The sequence below is a fragment of the Homo sapiens genome, chromosome 2 (assembly GCF_000001405.40).
Source record: "Homo sapiens chromosome 2, GRCh38.p14 Primary Assembly".
Taxonomy (NCBI): Eukaryota; Metazoa; Chordata; class Mammalia; order Primates; family Hominidae; genus Homo; species Homo sapiens.
In genome coordinates, this window is record NC_000002.12 from 64,141,840 (window position 1) to 64,156,281 (window position 14,442).

At 40.0% G+C, this 14,442-nt stretch overlaps 1 protein-coding gene across 3 annotated transcripts in view, besides 5 other annotated features; it reads right to left on the minus strand.

The window, feature by feature from the left end:
* Positions 1-2,581, minus strand: part of PELI1 (pellino E3 ubiquitin protein ligase 1) — a 51,769-nt gene extending 49,188 nt beyond the window's left edge. For 2 of the 3 annotated variants that reach the window (XM_017004520.2, XM_047445137.1), the window contains exons 1-2: positions 2,242-2,581; positions 1,479-1,687 (exon numbers count right to left, since the gene is read on the minus strand). The gene's annotated coding sequence lies outside the window, so the exon portion shown is untranslated. The remainder of the gene's footprint in view (positions 1-1,478; positions 1,688-2,241) is intronic. The other variant, NM_020651.4, reaches the window with a different exon arrangement.
* Positions 2,029-2,098: a silencer, noted in NCBI's record as "silent region_11547". NCBI's record gives its function as "represses an Ori minimal core promoter by ATAC-STARR-seq in GM12878 lymphoblastoid cells {active_cell/tissue: GM12878}" and the evidence as "EXISTENCE:reporter gene assay evidence [ECO:0000049][PMID:35858748]".
* Positions 2,109-2,178: a silencer, noted in NCBI's record as "silent region_11548". NCBI's record gives its function as "represses an Ori minimal core promoter by ATAC-STARR-seq in GM12878 lymphoblastoid cells {active_cell/tissue: GM12878}" and the evidence as "EXISTENCE:reporter gene assay evidence [ECO:0000049][PMID:35858748]".
* Positions 2,319-2,388: a silencer, noted in NCBI's record as "silent region_11549". NCBI's record gives its function as "represses an Ori minimal core promoter by ATAC-STARR-seq in GM12878 lymphoblastoid cells {active_cell/tissue: GM12878}" and the evidence as "EXISTENCE:reporter gene assay evidence [ECO:0000049][PMID:35858748]".
* Positions 2,469-2,658: a silencer, noted in NCBI's record as "silent region_11550". NCBI's record gives its function as "represses an Ori minimal core promoter by ATAC-STARR-seq in GM12878 lymphoblastoid cells {active_cell/tissue: GM12878}" and the evidence as "EXISTENCE:reporter gene assay evidence [ECO:0000049][PMID:35858748]".
* Positions 2,749-2,808: a silencer, noted in NCBI's record as "silent region_11551". NCBI's record gives its function as "represses an Ori minimal core promoter by ATAC-STARR-seq in GM12878 lymphoblastoid cells {active_cell/tissue: GM12878}" and the evidence as "EXISTENCE:reporter gene assay evidence [ECO:0000049][PMID:35858748]".

Consider the following 14,442-nt stretch of genomic DNA (forward strand, 5'->3'; position numbering starts at 1 on the left):
TTGCCAGTCAACACTAACTTCTGCCTGTGGATTCCAGTGACTGAGCCAAGACAGTGTTAGTAGCTTCCTTGAAGTACAAATGTTCCTGGTAAATCTGGCTTGAAAATACCACAGAAAAAGTTCAACATAACCAACTGTAAGAACATTTAAATGCCAATCTTAAGGAAAGAATGGATTCCCTCCCCCTACAAATTCCACTGAGGCAAATTTCCAGCTTACTTTTTAGAAGCAAATAAATACTACTACTATTACATTACAGCACTTCTACCATGCTAATAAAAAGCTAGGTGATAGTTTCCTCTTTAAAACCTGTACATTCACTACATGAGACACTATAACCACTTCACTACATGCAACTTTCCATACATATAACTGTTCTACTTTCCAATTATTTATTTTAAACTCAAGATCTCTTTTAACATACTATAGAAAGGGAACAGGTTAGAAGGCTTTGGGAAAAAAAATAAAATAACGAACATCTCACTTTCATTTTCTGATGCAACCACCAAAATCTAAAATGTAAGGACAACTATATAGTACAAAATTAAATTTAAGAGAATTTAGAGTAAGTGAAACTATTCACTATTACTACAGTTCTGATTATTATTTACCTGAGGAAAGAGCTAGTAGAAGTGATGCTTGGTTTAAATTTTTGGTGCTTTCCAGTATGGTACCGAAGAAATAAAAACTCACAAAATAAATAAGGTCCTCAGAGTTAAAGACTTTTCCCCAGAAGAGGTTGTTGGTATAAATAAAAAAAACAAGGAATTCATATGCTGTATTTGTACACTAAGAACAATGTTTTGAGACATGTAAATCTTATCACTCAGAAAATATTTTGTTGGCTATAAAGAAAACGCATCGTAAACTGAAACAGAACTGAATAAAGTGAACCTTTACCACAATTAAAATATTTTAAATTCACCCTATTATGAAAACTTAATAATAAATTCATTTATCCTTAAGTGTAAGAGTAATACATATTCGACACAGTAAAGGACAATGCCATTTCTGAAACAAAAGATCATGTGCAATGAAAACAAAGTAACATTTTGCAGAGTAAGAAAAAGTAAAGAGCCTGTGAACCGAAACAGATGACCTTTTCTTATATATAAAGCTTCAGTTTTTAGCACAACCAGCACCTTATGAATAAAGTTCTCAATAACATTTGTTGATATACTGTTTGATGACTAAACGACAGGAATATTGTTGGTGCTGTTAAAACCAAGGCACATTTCCTTGTGTGTAGTGATTAAAATCTGTTAAATGTACATTTTTAAAAAACCTCTGCCCTCTGTCCCCTTCTTGCTCTCTTGCCTCTAACAGACCTGCACGTACAAAAATAAAAGTAGATGGTGACGTGAGTTTATGATTTACATTAATTTCCCTACTCGGAGCATTTTTCACTAAGTCTTTAGAGGTTTTAAGATTCAAACACTATGTAAGAAGAATTATGGTTTGAACTACGTAACAATTACCTAGACATCTTTTGGACTTCAGTTAACCTGTAAGTAAAATGAGCATCTTTAACTTTTCCACGGGGCTTTGGAGAACGGGTTCTTCCTCATAAACGCTTTCATATACTCAGACACGAGGCGCGGTAGAAGATCAAGCGTATCCATCAATTTGAGAGCTTTTCACGACCTCAGTTTACCCACTTAGGGAAACGGGCGTATTAACTTGTTTCCTAGGGGACCCGGGGGTGAAATTAATTAGCGTGTTTAAAATGCTCTGAGATCCAAAGATGAAAGGAAATGTGAAAGACGCGCAGAGATGATGACAACAATCATAACAATAAAAAGAATGACTAACTTGAAGTCTGCGTTATGTAAGGGAGGAAAAGAAGTTATCAGATCCGCACAAACAAAAGGGAAACCCACCGCCCCTTTTGTTTCTCCCATTTCCCTCTCCTCCCCGCCACCCGCAGAGCTCCCCTCTCGCAGCCGGAGCGCGCGGCCAGCCAGGCGCGGGGCTCGGAGTTGGCCGCCGCGCGCCCCGCTCCCGGGCGGAGGGGGAGGCCGCGTAGGGCCGGTTCCTGACAAAGGCGCTTCCTCGAGCCAGGGCGCGGGATGCAGGCGCCGCAAACTCCGCTCCCCGCCGCAGCGGGGGCGCGCAGGCGGGCGGGGAGAGCCGGCTGCTGGCCGCCGGGGAAGCCGCCGAGGAAGTTGCGCGCCCGCCCTCCCCGCGCCCCTCGGCGGCCCCGCCGCCATCCATCCCGCGGCGCCCCGCGGTCACACTTACCGGACAATTGCTGGTGGCCGGGATCCCAGAGCGGCCCCCGAGACCCGAGGCGAGAGGGTGAAGTGTTGTGCGCGGGGAGCGCGAGCAGACAGCCCGCCGTTCCGCCGCTGCCCTCCGCGCCCGCCAGCCGAGCCCAGCGAGGGGAAGTTGACCACGGAGCCGAGCGCTGAGGAGCCGCGGACGCAGGGAGAGGCGTTGGGGCTGCTTTGTGGTGCGCTCCCGGAGGGCTGGGGACCAATTCGACCGCACCGCGGGACTAGGGCTGCTGCCGCTGCTGCTAGTGGAGGCGGCGGCGGCGCCCCCCGACGGTCCCTCCGCCTCACACCGCCTCTGGGTCACTGACATACACTCGCAAGGAGGGGAGGGGTCTAGCCGGGGGGCGGGGCCTGAGGGAGGGGACCGGGCAGGGCCACAGCGGAAGGCGGTGTCGCCGCACCGAGAAGGCTCTTGGGAATTGTAGTTCTCCGGTTGAAGAAAAAAGGGATTCATTGTTGTCCAGCACCCTACCAGGCTCGCTCTGCACTGAGCATGCTCGAGGGCGAGGTTTGGACCGCCCCCTCCCACCGTTACCATGGTCACCGACACACTTAGCGAACGTGTTCAGTGCTGCTGTTGGCTGAACAAGGACGGTCTTGTATTATGGTGTTGTTGGGGATCCAACCCTTAGACGGTCCTTCCTACTTTTCTCCACCTCCAACTCCTAGCCTTACCAGTCATAAGTACCCAGTGAGGTCTGACTTTCTCTCCATATTTCAGTCTTCCCTGCTGCGTAATTTATCTTCCACAAACCCTAAATCACAAATACCTCTGTCCCTCACTTCCCTCAATTGAATCTTCTCCGGCTAAATTCAATTTTCTTTACCTAAGACTTGTCGAAATGTAGTTGTTTCCAGTAATTGAACAATTAGGTTATAAAACTTAGGAATATCACCACTATCAAAGTCCCGTAATTAATTACTTTGCTCAGTTAGTCACATCTAACTTTAAGATTAGCAAAGGCAAAGTACAGAATTAAGACCCCTATATTTTACTTGATTACTATAAAAGAATCCGGGTTCGTTCATTTTAAGGCCTACAATTTTTAAGACATACAAATTTCATAAAGTATACGTTCAAAAGACAAGTTGAAAATTGTTTATGTGTATTGGCCAACTTTAGTTTGGTAATAAGAGAAGTCTGAACCAAGGTATGAGTATGTTGTTGGGCTGGTCAGCTAAGTCTACACCCATCTTGGGCACCCAGGTGTGGAAAGGTGGTAGGGAGGAGGGTGGAGAAAGGCAGGACACATTACTGGCTCTCCGGAGAGCTAAAGGCAACGCGTCCTGAGCGCTTTTGTTTTCCTTCTCCACCTACCTAGAACCCCACACCCTGGAAGAAAAAGATTAATGCTTAGGAATCAGACACACTTTTGGAGCAAGGCTTTCAGAGAGTCTCAAGATCAGAAATCCTTATATCTACAGACTATATAATTATACACTCATTCAAAAAATGCTTGTTGAGTGTCTACTTGTGCTAGGCACTGTTTTGAGCCCCAGAAATAGAGATACAAAAATGTAAAAGAAACATTCTTATTTTCAGAGTGCTTACTATGCAAAGGAGGAGACAGGTAAATAGACTTAATTTGAGAAGTACTACAATAGGAAAATGCAAAGCTACCCACAGATGTGGGCAAAATCAGGAAATGCTTCAAAGATCACTTGAGATAACTAGGAATTAACATGTTTGTGTATTTTGGTAGGGGAGGAGGAAGAGAGAGGTGGGTGAGAGCATTGGGGGTGGTGTTGGGGAGAGCATCAAGCACAAATACCTAAAGGTGTGAGACCCAAACGTATTTTGGTTCAGCAAATAGTTGCATTGCTGGCAGTAGAATGGAGTTGGGGGAGTGGCAAGAGGAGACACTGAAAAAGGTAAGGGAGACAGCTTAGGTAATGAAGAATCTTGCACAATATGCTAAGGAACATGAACCTTTTCCTGGAAACAATGGGAAGCCACACAAGGATTGTAAGCAGATGGAATTTTGATAAGATAGGCATTTTAGAAAGATCACTCTATGGAGTGTGGTATGTATGGGACCTGTTACAGTATTACAGGGGAAAAAACCATGAGAGACTGAACTAAGGTAAGGCAGTGGCAGAAGAGAAAACTGAGGGTAATCAGACACTATTCAGGGGATAGAATATAGAACATAGTGACTAATTGCCTAGGTTTGGGGGTGAAGGGAAAAGTAAAGTTATGAATTATGATGCTTGTGGTTGAAAGCAGCAGAAAACCCAGCTCTAACTGGCTTAACCAATAAAGGAGATTTATTGAACCATCTAGCTAGAAAGTTCAGGAAAAAGGCAGTCTATAGGGATGACTGATTCAACAAATCAGAGATGTCATTAAAGGCACTTTTTTTCCCTCATTTTAATTGCTTTATTGTTAGCTTTATTGTCAAATGACGGTTGCCAACAACTTGTGTAGCTTTAAGTTTCGCTATTTAGGTCCAAGAAGAAATAAGAAAAAGATTCACTTTTGGAAGCTCTTTTGTAAAGGAAAGAAAACTCCTTTCCCAGAAGCCTCAATGATTTAGTCACATGTCCCTACATAAACCAAAAATGGCTGCCAGGAGATGGCACAAGGATAATTATCTTAGGATGAAGACATGTGCGTACCCTTAGAGCCATAGAAGTCAGCTTCTACCAAAGCTGTGATGAGGAGGTGCAAATATCCCAGTGAAAATTGAGCTGATTACTCAGAAAAAGAAGCATGGAGTCTGAGAAGTGGACCACAGTGTCTACTGCAAGGAAGAAGCCAATGATGGATCCCAGATTTTTGGATTGTGTGTTTATGAGCTAGTGATCAGTTATGTACATGACTCTTGTGCCCTGGAGACAGATTTGGGCAGCAGAAGATATAACTGGAATATACCATCATATAAATGGCTGTTGAAATTATGGCAATGGATGAGATCACCCATGGAGAGTATGCACAGCAGAAAAAGGAGTCAATAATAGCACCTTAGAGAACATCAGCACTTAAGGTGTAGGCAGGAAGATCGTGAAAATGCCTGGGAAGTAGCAAGAGAACTAGGACATAACAAGGAAGCAGGAAAGTAATCTACAACCAGGAGGAGAGTCAGTCAACATAAAGCCACAAATGACAGAGATGATAGAATTAGCAGTCAACAATGTTGAAACAATTACAATAAGTATGCTCAGTATGCTGAAAGAGAGAAATCAAAGATATAAAAAATGGAATTTCTAGAAATTAAAATGACAATTTCTGAAATAATTTCACTGGATGGGATTAACACTCAGAGGCAGATTAGGCACAGAGCAAATTAGACACTCAGAAGAAAAGATTAGTGTACTTGAAGACATAGCAGTAGAAGCTAGCCAAAAGAAAGCACACAAAGAAAAAAAATGAAAAAATACCCCCCAAAACAGAGTCTCAGTGATCTATGGGATAATACCAAGTGTCTAATATTTGTGTAATTGGAGTTCCAGATGAAAGATGGGTCAGAGGGGTGACAGAAAAATTATTTGAAGTAATATAGCTGAAAATATTTTCACGTTTGATGAAAATTATAAACCCACAGATTCAAGCAGCTCAATGACCCCTAAGCAGAGTAAACACACACTCCCAAAAACCACTGCAAAATACGTCACTATTAAATTGTTGAAAACCAATAATAAGAAAATATTAAAAGCAGCCAGAGGAAAAAGGCAAATTATGTATAGAGGAATAAACACAAAATATCAGCAGACCTTTTTTTTTTTTTTTTTTTTTTTGAGGTGGAGTCTTGCTCTGTCGCCCAGGCTGAAGTGCAGTGGTGCGATCTCGGCTCACTGCAAGCTCCGCCTCCCGGGCTCACGCCATTCTTCTGCCTCAGCCTCTGGAGTAGCTGGGACTACAGGCGCCCGCCACCACGCCCGGCTAATTTTTTGTATTTTTAGTAGAGACGGGGTTTCATCGTGTTAGCCAGGATGGTCTCGATCTCCTGACCTTGTGATCCTCCCACCTCGGCCTCCCAAAGTGCTGAGTTACAGAAATGAGCCACCGCGCCCGGCCAAATATCAGTAGACTTCTAATCAGAAACTGTGCAAGTCAGAAGACCATGAAAAGGCATTTCCAAAGTGCTGAAAAAAAAACCTGCCTGGCATGGTGGCTCAAGCCTATAATCCTAGAATTCTGGGAGGCCAAGGCGGGTGAATCCCTTGAGCTCAGGAGTTTGAGACCAGCCTGGCCAACATGGCAAAACCCCGTCTCTACAAAAAAAATACAAAAATTAGCTGGGCGTGGTGGCATACGCCAGTAGTCCCAGCTACTCCGGAGGTTGAAGTGGGAGGATCGCTTGAGCCCAGAAGGTCGAAGCTGCAGTGAGCTGTGAATGCGCCACTGCACTGCAGCCTAGGTGACAGAGCGAGACCTTGTCTCAAAACAAACAAACAAACACCCTGACACATAGAATCCTATAGTTAGAGAAAATAATCTTTCAAAAATGAAGTTTAAGACAACAAAAGCTGTGAGGATGTCACCAGCAGAACTGCACCTCAAGAAATGTTAAAGCAACTTCTTGGAAACTTGGATTTATATTAAAGAATGAAGAGTGCCAGAAATGATAAATATATGAGTAATTATAAAAAACTTCTCCCCCTGACTTAAAATTTTTTGAAAAAAGATAACTGACTTTAAAATAAAAATGACAAGACTGTATTATCAGGTTCATAATTAAAGATTTCTGTCAGCATTTATATATAAGGGACAAAATTCTAGCTGAAGTCTTCAAACATGTAAAGTTTGATAACAATAGCTCAAAAGATGGAAGGAAGAAGTGGAATTATATAGAAAGGTCTTATATTACACATGAAGTATTATACTATTATTTGAAGGTAAATCGTGATGAGTTAAAAATGCATAAGCTAAACCTTAGAGCAGTCGTCAAAATGAAAAAAACAGATGTGGCTAAGAAGTCAATAGTGGAGATAAAATGAAATCTTAAGAATAAAAAGCTTGAATGGAGAAGCAGAAATAAGGAAGAAATCTATGTCCCTAATGACCATGGAGCTGACATACCAGCTCTGGACTCTACCTCCTGACTTCTTTTAAGTGAGAAACAAACTTGTTTTGTTTTTATTTTTTAAAATTTTTTATATTAAAAAAATAGAGACAGAGTCTTGCTATATTGCCCAGGCTGGTCTTGAACTCCTGGGCCCAAGCAATCCTCCTCCTCAGCCTCCCAAAGTGCTGGGATTACAGGTGTGAGCCACCATACCCAGCCAAGAAACAAACTTCTATGTTGTATAAAGACATTGCTGTTTTGTACTGTGTTATGTATAGCTGAACCTAATCAGACTCACAAGCCTATAGAAGTTTCATGAAATAGAGTATATTTCTCAGAATCAGGTAGATCCACGTGTTGCCAGCATTTCAACATAGTTCTGAGGTTCCTATATTTGTCACTAAAATTCCAGGGATACAGCATCTTTCGTGTGGGCATCATTTACTATTAGTTTAATTAGTTTTTCTTGAAGGAGAAAATACATGTAAAGTGCTTAGCCCAGGCTTGGAATGCAGCAAATGTTCAGTCAATATGTAGTACTTTGAAACCAAACCACAATAATGAGGTAGATGGCCCACAGGTTAGACATATGTTCGGGTTTGTTCTCCAAAGTCAGGTGTAGAAAATCATGGTGACATTCACTTATATATCAAAATCTGTAGATTCCTTTGTGAAATTGTGACTTTACCTCCACCATACAGTTCTGTACAGTTCTTCAGAATCTACAGTCCTTTGAATTCAGAACAGTTCAGTCGTGGAAAATGAGTGCACCTCCAATCACCATATGCTCAGTCTACATATCTAGTTAAATACCTACATTTCTTTCACCAGAGGGGCTATCCTTTTGTTGCTTATCTGCAGTTTCCAATTTGGTATATTCAGCCATCTAGTCATTTCAGTAAGAAAGTGAATCCTGGGGGACTAAAGTTTTTTGGATCTCTTAAATTCTAAAAAGTTTTTGATCTGTGGATGTTGCTCAGTAAACTTCAAGTTTCCTGTACAATCTGACTATATCAAAATCAACTAAAACTGTGTTTCTACTCTTTCCTCAAACAAACATGAAAGCAGTGCTTGGGATAAGAACATAAGGAAAAATCACAATATTGATGTCATTTCTAAAACAACATGAAATAAATATAATTTGCTAGTAAATGAGGAAGAGGAAATTAGATACACGTCTTTTCTTATAACTTGAAGAAACTGCTGCAAACTTATTTTTCTCCTTTCACTGCAAATATTTCATCCACTTCAAATGAACATATCTTCCCATGTTTAGTCCAAATTTCTCATGGTTTATACTGACCCTAGACTGCCTATTGGACTCTTACTGACATTCTTGGGATTTGAGAGTGATAAAGTTGTGTGTGTGTGTGTGTGCATGTGTGTGTGTGTTTAATATTCAGATTTTAAGTAGGTTATCTCTCAGAATTCTTACCTCCAATATTTCTCCCAAAAATAAAATTATTTTCTCCTAATGTCCTCAAAGTCTCCAAATAGCTCATAGTCAACATAGCACATGTTCCTATTTTAAACCTGTGAATGGCACATAATTTGAAGGCCTGGGCTTTCACTCAAAAGATTTGTAGGCCCCAAATGCTGGCTCTGACATTTTAGATATATTTAGAAAATGTCAAAGACAAGCCAGTTAAAATTTCAATGTTTTAAAGGAGTCTGCTTGTACACCAAAGAATGCAGCCTACAAATTCTCAGTATTAGTGCAGTCAACATATACACAAGCAGTTATTTTGGAATTTTAAATAATACTGTGAATTGAGAGAATTGGAAAACCCATGAAGAGAACATTTAGATTGTGTTTTCATCCCTAAAATAGATGTATTTGCTGATAGACTACTTAAATTTTTGTATCTCAAATTTCATGTATTCTTTCGTGGAATACTTACTGAGCACATACTATGGTGCCAGACTATGGATACAAAGATTAATTAGTCTTGGTCCTAAGCTTTTTTTTTTTTTAACTTTTCTCCCGAGATGGAGTCTTGCTCTGTCACCCAGGCTGGAGTGCAGTGGCGCGATCTTGCTCACTGCAACCTCCGCCTCCCGGGTTCAAGCAATTCTCCTGCGTCAGTCTCTGGAGTAGCTGGAATTACAGGTGCCCACCACCGCGCCCAGCTAATTTTTGTATTTTTAGTAGAGATGGGGTTTCACCATGTTAGCCAGTCTGGTCTCAAACTCCTGACCTCGTGATCTGCCCGCCTCAGCCTCCCAAAGTGCTGGGATTACAGGCGTGAGCCACCGCGCCAGCTGGTCCTAAGCTTTTTGATGTTTAGGAAAGGGGAAATGCAGAGAAGGGAATAATCAATTTTACATGAGAATAAAGTCAGAAAAACATTTCAAAGAGGAGGTGGCAATTGAGCTGAATGCTAAAAAATGAGTAGGTGCTCACAAGCTGAACAAAGACATTTCAGCAGAGCTTGTGATGTTAAAAAAGACATGGGAAGAGTGAAGTAACAGCCCATTTAAAGAACTACAAGCAGTTCAGTATGGCCAGATCATAGGGTGTGACATGGGCCAGGTCAGGAAGTTTCTGAGACCAGATCATAGAAGTCGTATATGCCATGTCATGACAAAGAGTTTGGCAATGAGAAACTGTTGAAAGATTTTAAGCAGAGGAGTGCTATAAAATCATGCTAGTATTTGACAGAGTGACTAGCTAAGAGAATATGCAGTAATGCAGGTGAGAGATGATGGACAAACCAAGTAAGTGTGGGGAATCAAAAGAAGGGGGCAGATACCAGTGATGTTTCAAGAGATAAAATGAATAGGGCTTGATATATTGATTGGATGTAAGAGGTGAAGGAAAGAGAAAGGAAGGATCATTTGGAGGTTTCTGGTCATGTAGCTGGGCATTATATATTATAGTTATTCATTAGTATAGAGGAAAAGCAACTTTTTATTGCTTTTTGCAGTCAATACTTATTTATATTCATGTGTTTACAGTCTTACCAACATTTTATTTTCTGTTGGTTTCATTTTAGTAAGTATGCAGTGTCTCATTGTAGTTTTATGTATTTATTTATTTTTTGGAAACAGGGTCCTGCTCTGTGCCCAGGCTAGAGCGAAGAGGCCTCCCAAGCTCAAGCAATCCTCTCACTTCAGCCTCCTGAGTAGCTGGGACCACAGGCTTGTGCTACTATATACAGATAAGATTTTTTGATTTTTTGTGGAGACAGAGTCTCTCTATGTTGCCCAGCCTGGTCTCAAACTCCTGGGCTCAACTGATACTTGCACCTCGGCCTCCCAAAGTGTTGGGATTACAGGCATGAGCCACTGTGCCCATCCCCAACACTGTAGTTTTAATTTACATTTCCTTGATTGTGCATGCAACTGAGTAACTTTTTATAAGAATGTTTTATAAGGTCATTTGGAAATCCTGTCTTCAAAGAGGCTGTTTAGTTTTGCCCATTTAAAAATTATATAGTCTTTCTTTTTTTTCTTATTGATTTACAGGTGTTCTTTATATATTCTAGTTACCAGTCATTCATCAAATATGTGTCTGTGTATGCGTGTGTGTATATATATATATGTAGACTAGCTTTTATCTAAGTTTCTCAGCTTGGGATTCTCTTACCACAAAGGCAATGGAAATTTAGACCCTACACTCACCAGCTATGCAACTTTGGGTTTAGATTTCTCCCAGGAGAATACTTTTTCTCTCTCTAGAGCTCAGGGCAGACAACAAACTACTTTGGTACTTGTCCAGTCTGACAGACTAAACTTTTCTGGCTCCTTTTCGCTGACCATGTAGCTTTTATAGGACTTTATGTCCTGGAATTAGCAGAAATCCCAGTTGTAGCCCCTGCACTGCAGATGCAAGAGCACATGTCTTGTCCCTATGTGGGCATTAAAACCCTGGCTACCAGCTGCCAGGGCATATATTCAGGCTTCTGGCTTTGAGTCTCTCCCTACCCCCCACTCTACCATCCCCAGCTTTTTTTTTTTTTTTTCTCATAACAGAAATTTTTATTTCTCTCAAGCTCAGTTATGTATTTCATTGTTGTTTTAGTGGTTATATTTACCCAGTGTTTCTACATATTCGTATCAGAAAAGGTGGCTTCCATTAGCTCAGTCTGCCATGATGTAGGAACCTATTTACCATTCATTTCTGAAAATTATTTCAGACACTTTGCCATAACTACCTACATTACTCTTTTTCTAAAAGTATTTCAGGGATACTTGTAAGAACACATCTGACTTTCTAAAATGCTACTTTATTCGTGTTTAAGTAGAAAAGAAACATACTGTTGGTTAGGCATCCCCATCTCCAGATTTGTAATGTAGAAACTCTTATTACATTGTTAGAGAATCCTGGAGATCTGGAACAGGGTTGGGAGAGAGCTTAGGGTAACAACTATATTTAAATTTGGTAAATTAAAAGAATATAAACTCATAAAGCTCAGTTTAATTCTCCCTATTTCATCCCTCCAGCTGGGTGCCCACATAACCCAATCCTTTCTCGTTAGTTTCCTCTAGTTCTCCAAGTTACTCTAGAAACTAAAGTAGCAAGTTATGCCCTAAACGCCTCAGTTTTTGTTTTAAATCTCTTTATAGACCTGAGTACAGGAATCCTGGATTTTGCCAATTAAACTTTCCTATTTGAGTTCTGCCTTTTTGGAGACTGATTCCTCAGAACTAGCTTTCCCGAATGGTACTGCTTTTAATATTTTGTCACATAATCCCCCCAAGCAGTTTCACGCTTTGCCTTAATCATCCTGTGTCTTCTCCTGCTCCTTCAGCCTCCACAGTTACCTCTCAGGGATATTTCTTCACAACTCTACCCCACTGCGTCAACATAAAAAGCACCCAGGCTCCAGCCTCCCAACCTGAGTCACCCCACGCCCCCTTCTAGTGTTACCAGCTCAGGCTCCTGCCCTGCGTCTTGTCTCTTCTCAGATAAAATCAGTATCATGTAGTATTAGCATAAGTGCAGTTCTATCCATTTGGCTAGACTTAGCCAGCCTGGAGTTTTTCAGTTGATGGGATATTTTTTTTTTTAATGCACAATTTAAAAATCTTTTTGTTATAGAAACTTTCAAAACACACAGAAGGAGAAAGAATAGTCTAATGAAACCCGTGTACCCATCATCCAACTTCCATAGTTTCAATTCTTTGTCAATCTTGTTTTATCTTTACCTCCACTGGTTTATTTTGATACAAATCCCAGTTGCCCTAAAATTTATTTTGTATATCCATATGTGATTCTAAAAGGGGGGATATCTTATTTTAAAAGCATAAGCACAATAACACTATCATACCTAAAAGTAAAAACCCCAAATATTTCTCAATACTGTCAATATCCAGTTTTTAAAAATTGAGATCCAAATAAAGAATATACATGACATTGGTTGATGTATCTCTTATCTCTCTCTTTTTTTAAAAAATCTTTGCATTATGGAAAGTTTCAAACATATACAAAGCAAACAGAATAATGTATGTACTCTATATCTAGCTTCAACAATGATCAATTGTCTATCACTCTTACATCATCTATACCTTCACCCACTCCCCAACTCAATTGTTATTTTTAACAGCTTTTTTTGAAGTAACGTGTATTAGTTGTACAACTTTGACAAATGGATATACTAATGTAACCCACAATGCTATCATGAACACAGGACATTTTCATCTCTCCAGAAGATTGTCTCGTGTCTCTTACTCTTTCAGAGGCAATCAGTGTTTTGATTTTGTTTAACCTTAGATTAGTGACTGTTCCACAACTTTATACTCTTTTACATCCAGCTGCTTCTCACTATAATATCTGTGAGATTTATTCATGTTGTTGGATTAGTTTGTTTCTTTTCATTGCTATAACTACTACAATATATTTATTCTGTTGAGCTTATTTAACACATGTATTTTCTCTATAAGGCACATCGCAGTCTTTTTGTGATTAGGGACCCTAGGCAGCACTTTATCACTACGCTCGAGAGTCATTTTAAACAGTGAAATCACCAACAAAAAGCAAAAAACATGGCACTAAATAGACTGCAAAAAAGATGTTTATTTACAGTATGAGAGCTGAAACAAGTGGGTAGAGAGCACGACCTCATCTGAGAACATATGCATCAGGTGACTCAATTTTTGGCCACTCTGTGAGTGTCCATGAATGACCACAACAGTATTGATTTTGAGGTTATGAATACCTTTTAGCGATCAGGCAAATTCACGAATACTGAATTCATTAATGATGAGTAGCAACTGTACATATGTGTATCAGCATATGTACAGATGGTCCCTGACTTATGATGGCTTAACACATGATTTTTTAACGTTATGGTGGTGTGAAAGCTATACACATTCAGTAGAGACCATACTTTGAATTTAATATCAACAAGTGTCTCTGCCCCAGTGCCTTCTACCAATGATTCTCCAGCCTCATCAGAAGAGAGACAAATTGATGACCCTGTTGATGTAGCATCCTCATCATCCAGCAATTAATTTTAGTTCAATACTTCAAACATTCTTGAGGCCCAGTGTACTTTCAGCTGTGTGTGTTAATGGTGAGTACTCATACAACCATTCTGTTTTTTACTTTCAGTATAGTATTCAATAAATCACATGAGATAGTCAACACTTTATTACAAAACAGGCTTTGTGTTAGATGATTTTGCCCCACTGTAGGCTAATGTAAGTGTTCTGGGCACAATTAAGGTAGGCTAGGCTAAGCTATGATATTTAGTACGTTAGGTGTATTAAATGCATTTTTGACTTGCATTTTCAAATTACAATGGGTTTATCAGAACATAACCCCACTGTAAGTCAAGAAGCATCTGCACATATGTATAGATATGAAACAAGGTTATCATCTATTTCTATTGCCTTGAAATTTGGGAACTAAAAAGAAGAATAAGCTTCCTACCTTCAGTAAACTTGATGGGACTATATTCCAGAAGACTTGGGCTTGATGGGGTATCCTACCCCAAAATATGTGTGGATGTAAGGGTAACCATAACTCACTGTGAGAGGAGAAAATGTAAATAAATTGGGTTTTAGATATGCTAACATTTTTACTAACAAAGATTCCTGCCAAAGTGAGAAAAAAATATATAGAGGTAGGAATGACATGTGTTCTAGAAAGAGAAATATAAAAGTGTTTAACTAAAAACCTGATTTGAAAAAAAGAGGAGACTGATAGTTGT